Source organism: Homo sapiens, chromosome 9, assembly GCF_000001405.40.
Source record: "Homo sapiens chromosome 9, GRCh38.p14 Primary Assembly".
Classification (NCBI taxonomy): domain Eukaryota; kingdom Metazoa; phylum Chordata; class Mammalia; order Primates; family Hominidae; genus Homo; species Homo sapiens.
In genome coordinates this window covers 99,855,712-99,867,399 of record NC_000009.12, presented here as the reverse complement: position 1 = coordinate 99,867,399, position 11,688 = coordinate 99,855,712, and the positions used below count along the sequence as shown (strand labels likewise).

The 11,688-nt window shown below is 39.3% G+C and overlaps 1 protein-coding gene across 3 annotated transcripts in view; it reads right to left on the bottom strand.

The window, feature by feature from the left end:
* The window catches only part of NR4A3 (nuclear receptor subfamily 4 group A member 3), a 45,007-nt gene continuing 33,827 nt past the window's right edge, over window positions 509-11,688 (bottom strand). For all 3 annotated transcript variants that reach the window (NM_173200.3, NM_006981.4, XM_017015162.2), the window contains one exon: window positions 509-3,780. In NM_173200.3, the coding sequence (NP_775292.1) occupies window positions 3,533-3,780 (248 nt within the window). In that variant the 3' untranslated portion in view covers window positions 509-3,532. The remainder of the gene's footprint in view (window positions 3,781-11,688) is intronic.

Here is an 11,688-nt window from a genome sequence, read left to right as displayed (position 1 = left end):
ACCCACAAAGAAGGGGTTTCTAAGTAATGTAGTAGTGATGGCTTAAACAAAAAGGCAGAGAGCACTCATCCATCTTTGAGAACTGTAACCTTGATTCTTGGAAATGTTGGTTCACAAACCGTATCATATTGTCTTGATATAGAAATGAATCTTTCTTACCTCTAAAGAATACTTTTAGCCAACAAATTTTAGCTCTATTTACATTATATACAGTTGAAAGAAAAATAGGAGTTTCACACACTGTGCATGTTTGTATCTCCTCAAAGCACTCGGCAGTGGTTTGCCCCTAGGAAGCAGTCAATAAATGGTTATTGAATTTAGAATGTCCTTCTTTCCAATCAGTAAGGTTTAATATATATCCAATACAGAAATCCTATTAATTTTTCAGCATTACTAAGCCTTTAAAAAATCAATTTTGGGGATGTGCTTAAGAGTTCACAGCAAATACTATTACATAATAATTAAGAGAAAACTGTTAAATGAAGCAGGCTTATTCAATACACCAGTAGCCATTGATAAAATGTAATTTAATCATTTAAATTTACATTGTTAATGTACAAGAGCATTTCTTTCAAACCACAGGTTAACACACACTAAAGAGCAATGCTGTTAGAGGAGCAGAGAAACTTTGGAAAACTCTGCTGTCTGAAATAAAAGCAAGGCACTCTCCATTAACAGCTGGTGGCTTCCTGATTTCCGCCCACAGAAGGCATGTTCACACTGAGAGAGCTCTCCCGCCAAGGGGAGGAATCACCTGCTTTAATACATGTTGTTCTCTTCTGTGCTAGTGTGGTCATCCACTCTGTATAAACTTATGTGCAACATTAAGACAAAAAAAAGGGAGTTGAGTTGATAAGATGACTTGGGAGGCTCTCATAGTTGTAATAACTATGGAAGACAGAAGAACATGCTATCATCTTTATTTTTAGCACTCATATCTGGACCTATTACTAAAAAAGCTTCTTCATTCCTTCCAACCACTAGATTATAATGGCTAAAAAGTCTTTTCCTTAAATCTGATGGGTGTAAAAATAAAAAGTAACAGCATTTCTCTAGGGCTCTGTTTTTATTTTGTTTTGTTCTTCCTTTATAGACACGACAAAAACAAGGATTAACTTTCCAAATACTCATGGTGCACAAGAAGGTTATGTATGCACAGTATTTCTAATTTATTCAAATTCAATTTGAATTTGGTCTGAAGCTATCTTGTATGAAATGTTAGCTTTCCTGATATTTAATAATATTTATTATGTTTGCATATAAGCTCAAAAAATTAATGCAAAAGTATACTTTACTCATGGTTATCTTCAGGTAAATATTAGTGGTTATGTTTAAAAGCCTGATTTTATATAGATGAAGTTGAGAAAAAAAAAGAGTATGGAAAGGTAAATTAGGTCTTAGTCTTGATTCTGTTACCAGCTGTTTGACCTTGAGTAACTCTTCACCCTTCAATGGGCCCCAGTTTGCTCCTCTATGAATTTTAAGGGGTTGGACTAGTTGACAGACCAGGCCCCTTCCAAGTCTAACATTTCAAAATCCTAACATTCCAGGTTCTATCATCTTGATATATAAAAATAACAATCTTTCATAAAAGCACACATAACATAATCAAATATTAGAATGACTCTTGGAAAAAAACATATGATTTCCTATCTGGGTTATACTTTGCAGCAATTAGGCAATTCATTTGGCATTTGTTTGATTGTATAATTTAATGACAATATAAACAGCATAGTTTTGTTATTTTCCTTTAAAAAGACTAAAGCAAAAATGATTTAAAGCTAACAAAAACTACTGTGACATCAGTTTGACATTCAAAGTTTGTTTCTTAGCAAAATGGCCAAAGATATTTTGACTTGATACAGAGTATATAATATAAAGACTTTTAGACCTAAAAATCTTCAAACATTATTCGAATTTAGCAAAACATAAGCAAAATTTTAATATCAAAGTGCTAAACAGTACTGCCTTAAAAGTCACTGCAAATGAACCATAAAATAACGGCATGGGAAGTGACATTTATTGTACAAATGGTTAATAAAAAGACACATTATAAATATATATATGTAACCTGCTATATTTATATATATATATATATTTGCTTATTTAATTTCTAATTGGTGTATCCAAGTCACTGTGAACACCCCATTTAATTACTCTGTAACTCAGCTTCCAGGAGCTGGTGGTCTTGCAATAAATACAGGCAAAGCTATTACAATATAACGTGCATACAAATGTTTATACAAATAAGGACACTATGCAACAAATTATCTCATAGTAATATGGCATTAACAGTAGAAACATACAAAAGGGAGTACGAACACGGAATGTTGAAACGCAGCCCACTAATCCTTCCTAGTACTCACACTCATACTATTTTTTAAATCTTTTCTAGTATTCACATTCATACTATTTTTTAAAAAGATTTGCTTGCTCTCCAAAATTGTCTCCTTAACCAATAACAAAAATTAAATTATATCTATAAAAATCCTTATTGTCCCTGGTGCTTACCCTGTATGACCAGTTCCTGCTGATTTGCATGTTCTTATCTAGGGATCAAATACTCAACTGACTTATGGCGCTTCTGAATGAATATACCAGTCAGTTACTATAACTGAAGCAAGTTTAGGGAACTCTGGTGGGGTTGATAGAACACAACCAAAACAGTTACATGTAATCCAGTTTATAATCTGATCCACTTTCAGGATAGCTGGACAGTCAGGGCAGGGATCTGGTTCCATCAAGAATGGCCTAAAAGTCTTGGATGGGCCATACCTCAGAAGGGATCGACAGGGAAGGTGAACACAGCCTCTGCTAGGGATATTAACGTGTCATTTGCTAACATGACTGCCTCCTTTTTATTTCCATATAGAATAAAGGAGAGTTAATAAACAAGACTTAGTAAGACAGCACTTTAAAAAATTGCACTTGTTTATGGAAGCAAACAGCCATTATTGTTTTGCCATGTCTGATTTGTAGGTAATCCTCCATCTTTCACCATTTGTTAAAATAAAGGAAGAAGGAAATTAAAAGGAAGTTTCTGCCTTGTTTGCACCACATACGTACCTTTGATACAGGAAGCATATTTTCAAGGGACCAATCTTTAAGACACATCCTACCCTGGCGAACAACCCTTGGCTGTTCTTGTTTTTAAATACAAAGCAACTATAATTGGATTCCCCAGAAAGAGTTTTAAAACAGTTATATTATCCTTTTTTTTCCTGCTGGGATAGCATTGTCCAAAAGTGCTTTGTTAGCAATTTCTTAGAAAACCCTCATGAACTATAACCCCCTCCCACCCCATCCCCCAATGCCTAAATATAAAACACAACCCCAACACAATACTCTGCAAGTTTTCTGGCTTTAGGTTGTAAGGAAAAGAGCCAGAAAAAAAAGAAAGTCTTTGCTTTCTACAGGAGCTGCTTTTCCTCTTAAGGAAGGACAGGAAATGATAGGTTTCCAAACCTATCCCTTTGCTGCGTAGCAAGCAGGTGCTAGGAGAGGAGGCAGCTCACTGCTCCACTGCTCCTGATTAGAAAGGTAGGGTGTCCAGGAAGAGCTTGTCAATGATGGAAGGTGGAGACACCAAGTCTTCCAGCTTCAGGTAGAAGATGCGCTGGAGGCCCAGGGTGCAGATCTTCCTCAGTTCTACCAGGGCACCCAGGACCTTGGACTCGGTGGGCTCCAGAGCCTGTCCCTTACTCTGGTGGTCTTTTAAACTGCTTGTGATCTTGTTGCATAGCTCTTCGACTCTCTTTGGTTCTTTTAACCCATGTCTTTCTGCAGAGGGATAGAGAAGGGCAAGAAGTTTAGGAGGCAAATACATCTTAAGACACTTTGAATCCCTAATTGAGGTCTGTGTCTCATTCTGCCAGTTTGGATAGCTTCTTTGCAATCAAAGTGCCCTCCCTGTTAGAGATAGCTCATGGCCTTTGGTATGAAGCAACACCAAGGTTTGAATCCCAGTCCCAACACTTACTTGCTGTGTGCCCTAGAGTAAGTCTCTTTACTTCTGAGCACCCATTTCCTTATGAGATGAAGAAAATGATCATACCCAATTCAGGGTTTCTGGGATGGCCAGCTTAGGTAAGTAACACAAGGGAAGCACAGTTCCTGGCACACAGCCACATGGAATGAATGGCAGGGTGGTTATTATTTTGCATACATTATCCTACTAAGCTCTCACAAAGCCTTGTCAGTAGGCAACTATTTTTCAGAGTGACATAGAAACACATCCAGGCAAATGAATTAATGTTTCTATCTTGACAGACTCATTTAAGGGAGGTGGGGAGGCTGTAACTTCCATTTGCTAATGCAAGGGCTGCTCGAAAAGACCCAACACAGCAAAGTGCATTCCTGTGTTTTCATGCTAACCAGCACTGAGAAGAATTCAGCTTTTCTTTTCCTTGTTTTGTTCCCCCCCACTTGAAACCCCTGTTGACCTACACCTGGCACTCTGTACAAAATACACATGTCCTCCTGCTGTGGAGATGGAAAAGCCAAAGAGAAGGGGAGGAAGCCCAGAAGGATGTGGTGCAGGCATGTTATAATGTATTAAGACACAAATACCAGTATCTTATATTTTACAAAACAATATATAAAATGATCTCCATGTTAAATACTATGATCTATCTTATGTATAAGGTTAAATGAATTTCCCAAAGTCACTCAGCTGCTAAAAGCTAGGATTAGAACCCAGTTTTCTGAGGCAAATACTGGTCTCTTGTTCCAAAGCAATGAGAAGGGAGCCTGACATCCACAACAAATCACTATGCTTTTCCTCAACATTTAGACTTCAGAGCCTCATTTCTCTCTCTTTTTTTTTTTTTTTTTTTTTTTTTTTTTTTTTTGAGACAGAGTCTTACTCTGTTGCCTAGGCTGGGGTGCAGTGGTGCGATCTTGGCTCACTGCTCCCCCACTTCCTCCACCCCGATTCAAGCGATTCTCCTGCCTCACCCTCCCGAGTAGCTGAGACTACAGGTGTGTACCACCATGCCCAGCTAATTTTTTGTATTTTCAGTAGAGATGGGGTTTCACCATATTGGCCAGGATGGTCTCGAACTCCTGACCTCAAGTAATCCTCCCATCTTGGCCTCCCAAAGTGTTGGGATTACAGGCATGAGCCACTGTGCCTGGCCTCAGAGCCTCATTTCTAAAGGAAGAGCTTGGCCTCTGTTATCTCGAAATTTTCTTCTCTCAGTACATTTACATGTAAAATCATAATTCTTGAGAGATGGAAGACATCCTTCTAATGGGAAATCAAGCAATAGTTTCTAATTTTTACAAAATTAATTTTTTTTTTTTTTGAGTCATGGTCTTGCTCTCTTGCCTGGGCTGCAGTGCAGTGGTGCAGTCATGGTTCACTGTAGCCTGGAACTCCTGGGCTTAAGTGATCCTCCTGCCTCAGCCTCCCAAGTAGCTAGGTCTATAGGCATGCACCACCATACCTGGTTGATTTTTAAATTATTTTTTGTAGAGGCAGGGCCTCACTATGTTGCCCAGGCTGGTCTTGAACTCTTGGGCTCAAGTGATCCTCCTGCCTCAGTTTCCCAAAGCACTGAAATTACAGGCATGAGCTACCGTGCCTGGCTCTAAATTAATTTTTTAAGTTGGGGGCATTTTTGTTAGAAAAGTTATTTCCTTGAAGCAAAAGCCAATAAGAAAAATGAAGAACTATCCAGACACTTTTTTCTTGTCCCAAATAAGAGGCCTGGGAACCAGAAAATTTGCATTATCCTCAGTTTGGCTAGTTGTGTATGATTTGGGGAAGTTCCTCCCACTTTGGGGCCCTGTAAAAGGAGACGGTTGAACTTCATTATCTGTAAGGTCCCAAAGCTCTGATGTGTCCTCCTTCCTTCCTTCCCTCCCTCCCTTCCTTCCTTCCTTCCTTGACAGAGTCTCACTCTGTCACTCAGGCTATGCAGTGGTGAAATCTCAGCTCACTGCAACATTCCCGGTTTCAAAAGATCCTCCTGCCTCAGCATCCCAAGTAGCTGGGATTACAAGTGTGTGCCACCACACCTGGCTAATTTTTGTATTTTTAGTAGAGACAGGGTTTCACTATATCAGCCAGGCTGGCCTCAAACTCCTGGCCTCAAGTGAGCCACCCACCTTGGCCTCCCAAAGTGCTGGGCTTACAGGCATGCACCACTGCACCTGGCCTGATATGTTATAATGATATTAAAATACAACCATGAAGATTGCCAGCGGGATCTCCATGGACTGTAAGTTGCAGGCATCTTGTCTCAATGCAATATGCTATAAAGAGATGGGCACTGGCCCTGGAGTTAGACAGACCTAGGTTCTAGTTCTGGTTCTGTCATTTACTAGCTGGGTGACCTAATTTCTCTAAGGCTCAATGTCTTCACAGGAAAATCGGAATTATTGAGTGGCAGATACACAGCCTTTGCTGTTATTATTCCTGTGTGTCTTCAATGTTATGTAATAAATTAAAAGAAAAAGTACAATGATAATAAAACCCAACTCCATGGATTATTGTGGCTCAATTAAGATAATGTTATGGAAAAGTGGTCTGTCAGCTGTAGAGTGCTATACACATGGAATAATCAGAACCAAAGACAATGCTTGCCAGTGGGCAAGTGGCTGGTAACTACAAGGTCTAACAAAAAGCAATTCGTGGCCTAATTTCCAAGCTTTGCAGTGCATCATTTTGCTTTCCCTGAGAAACTATTAGCTAATCAGCCCAGGTGCGGACCTGTCTCCTACGGCTTATCATTACTAAATACACAGGCTCCATGTTTCAGTCTCAGAAGAGACTGTTGTGAATTTTAAGAGAATGAATTTTAAGAGAATCCTGCATGCAGTGGTGTTCTGCCTAAAGTTTTATTTTCTCCCCAAAACAAAAGAACAGGCTGTAAATTTGGCAGTAAATTTCAAGAGCTATAAATCGTTCATAGCCTCTGACCAAGTAATCCCACTCTTGGGAATTTATCCAAAGGAAACATTTAACAGAAGAATAAAACTGTATACATGGAGACATTTGGTTCAGCATTATCTATTACCAAGACAAAACAAAACAAAAGCAAACAAACAAAAAACTGGAAAAAGGCAAAGGGCTGAAGAATAGGGGAACTGTTAAGTAAATAATGGTATATGGAAGGGAAGATTCTGAAGACATCAAACAGAACAAATGTGAAGGCCATGAAGCAAAATTAAAAAAAAAAACGTTTACAACATTAAATAAAGAGTAGAATATTAAATACTAAAGCTGTGATTCCATCTATGCAAAAATTATTTCTTCATATAGAGAAGGGTGAAAGAAAATATAAACGTGAAAATACCTATGGGGTTTTGGGATAAATTTTCCTTCCTTTTAAAATGTCCAGGTTGTGCTCTTTGTATAATAATGTTAAAATAGAACGAGATGGATTTCGTCCTTTGTGAAGCCCTTGAATGCTATAACATGATCAAACATCACCTTGCTGATACTAAATTGAATTAATAATGAAAAATATTCAATTATATTCATAACCTAGGGAGAGACGCCTTTCTCAGAATAAATACCAGTCCATTGATTTAAGCTTTCCCTTCCTTTCAGTGTCTCATGTCTTACATAACATTCAAGATCTCATATTCATCATCAGGATACAGGAACTGAGTAATATGTTGGCTGGATTTGGGGAGGGAGCTGATTGTGGAACCTTGTAACCAGACTTTCTCATGGCCAAACTCACAGAAGGTACTGCAGAATTTTCCCTGCTCTCCAACCAGTTGCGACTGCTCAATAACTATGGCAACCATTATTTATTCAGTGAATTCAAGTGGAGATCGATACCTCCTGCCAGCTGGATCAACTCTAGGCCTGGAATTCCTTGAGGAATTCAGAGACAGTCCTGTTAGAAGCCAAAGGCACCTCAACCCTCTTTGTTGTTTTGAACAGCCACTGGATTTGTAGCTTCTTTACTTTTTCAAAAGGGCTGAGATAATATTCAGTCTCCATGCAAACTACTGCCAGCAGCCAGGAAGATTTTCAAATCACTAGGGAGTCACTAAGTGTCTGGGTCCTTCCCTAGTAATTTGAAATCCCTTAAAACCTAATCACTGACATTTTAGTTAAAGGGATCTCCTTTCTTCTTGTAGCTTGGTAAACATGGCTACGGAGCTAATATACAGAGTTCATAAATTCGGGGGGAAATCAGGCATTTGGACTATCCCCCTTCCTAGAGAATTATACACAGCAGATTTTAGTTTAAGGTCTTTGTCCACCATTAAACAAAACAAGCTTCTTAATATTTCTTGCATTTTGATCTATATAATTTTCATAGAATGCTTTAGTATTTTAACTCTGGCATTACATATTCAAAACTTTGATATGTAACATACAGAAATGGTTAAGTAATAGACTTATGTGTCATAATCATTGTATATATAGATTGGAAAGGGTTTGAGTTATTTAGTTCAAATTTCTATCTAAGACAAGAATCTCTACTACAAGCTACCATAAAGAGAGTGTCAGGTAGTGGCTGGACTGGGAGTTAACTATATTATGCCATAATAGCACATATATATTTAATAGCACTTTATACAACACTCTTTTACTTAGATTATCTTATCTCACTCTCACAACAATCCTGTGAATTAGGCAGGACAAAGATTATCTTTAAGTAATAGGTATGGAAGGTAAGCCTCAATTAAGTGACTTGCCCATAGTCAAAATTAGCACGGGGCTATTTTCTTTTACTCTAAGTCCAGAGATATTTCTCTTATAACAAGATGTCTTCCATCTCTGGACATCTCTAATTGTTAGAAAGTTTCTCCTCGTCCTGAGATGAACTAGCTTTTCTATAACTCTCTCCTATTTTCTGTGCACCAAATTAACTAACTACTTCTTTCAACAAATATTTATTGAACACCTATTCTGTGGCAAGCGATGTTATAACCACTGGGGTTAGAGATGCGACAGATAGATCACACTCCTAATCTTTGTGTGGTATGAACACCTAAAGACACCGTTGGATTTCTGTGCATTTTGGCTATCCAGGCATAGACATCTCTGCTTAGAGCAAGAGGGAGGGGTTGCGAGGTAGGTGGAACCAGGGAAGAAGGAGTCAGGGGGAGAGAGTGATGGAGTGAAATAATAGAGCTATATTTAGGTCTGTGCTCATGTTTTCCCATCCTCATCTGGTTAAGATATACTCATTCTTTGGATCTCAGATCAAATATTTCTTGAAGGAAGCTTCCCTTTTTACCCCTATTCTAGATCATGTTCTCCTCTGGCATTCTAATCTATCCCTTTGCAGGACACAACAGTTTGAAGTCAGATAGTTATGTGATTTTTTTCTCCTCCCATTAACTGTAAGCACCATGGGGGCATGAACTGTATTTGCTCAACATTGTATCTCCAGCACCAAGCCTAGTACATAGGAGACACCCAATAAATATCTGTTAAATTGATACATAGAGGATCAAGAATCTGTGAGAAATGATTATATAAGCACTAAAAGTGTAAGCTGCTAAAAATAAATATACAGGTTGGGAGTTATTAAGAAGCTAACAACAGTAAAGAACTTTACAAACTCTAAAACCTACCACATCAAAGCTTTGGAATTAGATTTCCTGGCTGTAGACCTGAACTCTACCACTTATTTATTTATTTATTTATTTATTTATTTATTTATTTATTTGTGAGACAGAGTCTTGCTCTGTCGCCAGGCTGGAGTTCAGTGATGCAATCTCGGCTCACTGCAACCTTCGCCTCCTGGGTTCAAGTGATTCTCCTGTTTGGCCTCCCAAGGCCCAGCTAATTTTTGTATTTTTAGTAGAGAAGGGGTTTCACCATGTTGGCCAGGATGGTGTCCATCTCTTGACCTTGTGATCCGCCTGCCTTGGCCTCCCAAAGTGCTAGGATTACAGGTGTGAGCCACCACCCCTGGCCTCGACCACTTATTAACTGGGTGACTTTGGGTCTGTTTCCACATTTGTAAAATGGTGCTAATAATGGTAGCTGCCTTATGGGTTGTTATGAGAAGTAAACGAGTTAATACATGTCAAGTATTTGGAACCATGCCTAGCATATAGTGAGCACTTAGTGAATATTTGCAAGTATCCTCTCTATCTAAAACTCAAGCCATTACCTTCCCCTTCAAATCAGCCACGTCTCTAAGCTTGTCTATTAATGATATTACAGCCTTTCACATCACTCTTATAATCATCTCTAACAATTTCTTCCCCCCGAGCCATCATATTTAATCCATTGCAAGAACTTCCGTTATTATCTCTGTGATGTTCCTTGCATTTATATCTCCCTCTCAATACCCATGGCCTCTGGATGAGGATCTTCAATATCTTTGCTATCTAGATTATTTTAATAGCTCTTGACTGATCTCCATGCTTCCTGTATCTGCTATAATCTATTTCAGGTACTTCCAAGTTTATTTATTAAGCAACATTAAACAAAATAACACATGTAAAGCCCTTGGCACAGTGCCTGGCACTGAGTATTTTTAAATGGTAGCTATTAATTTCATGGATTCCTAATTACCAATAGGTTCCCTTATTCCTAGATACTTAAGGTGTGGTCCCCAGACCAGCAGCATCAGCATCACTGGGGAACTTGCTGGAAATGCAGAATCCGTTTAGGCAGGCCCTGCCCCAGACCTACCTAACCAGAATCTGCAATGCAACAAGATGCCCAGTGATGTGAATGCTGGAGAAGCTCTGCTCTAGTCAATCCTAGTCCCCATAAGATGCTTGACTGAGTCCACACCTAGTGTTCATCTAGTCTCTGTAAGCCTCATTCCCCAAAGCAGGAACTCACTCCTCAAGGCAGCTTATTCCAATTTCAAATGGTTCTTTCTATGTGAAAGTTTTTCTTACATTGAGCTAAAATTTGCCATCCTATATATCAGGGGTCCCCAATTGGTATTGGTCCATGGCCTGTTAGGAACTGGGCCACACAACAGGAGGTGAGCGGCAGGCAAGCAAGTGAAGCTTCATCTGTATTTACAGCCACTCCCCGTTATTTGCATTACCACCTGAGCTCCGCCTCCTGTCAGATGAGTGGCGGCATTAGATTCTCATAGGAGTGTGAACCCTATTGTGAACTGTGCATGTGAGGGATCTAGGTTGCACGTTCCTTATGAGAATCTAATGCGTGGTGATCTGTCACTGTCTCCCATCACCCCCAGATGGGACTATCTAGTTGCAGGAAAATGAGCTCAGGGTTCCCACCGATTTTACATTATGGTGAGTTATACAATTATTTAATTTTATATTACAATGTAATAATAATAGAAATAAAGTGCGCAATAAATGTAATAAGCTTGAATCATCCCGAAACCATTCCTCCGACCCCAGTCCAAGCAAAAATTGTCTTCCATGAAACCAGTCTCTGGTGCCAAAAATGCTGGGGACCGCTGCTATATGTAGTTCCCAGTTCTGCCTCTTGGGCTTATATGAGAAATGTCAAATTCTCTTCCTCATGGCAGGGAGTAGGGGATAAAGAAAGGGATGATAGTAACCATCAGGAGCCCCACCAAGGGGAAAAGTAACTCCCCTTTCTGAGCAGGTGTTAGGGCAAAGGCTAACTTGGTGACAACAATGCTGTTCCAGCCAAAGGGGAAGGAAAGGTGGGCCCCTGGAGAGAGAGGTATGTGTAGCTCAAACACAAACAAACAGGACTCCCCACTCGGAGCTCTACCCCTTTCTCTGGGAATTCACCTTATTGCT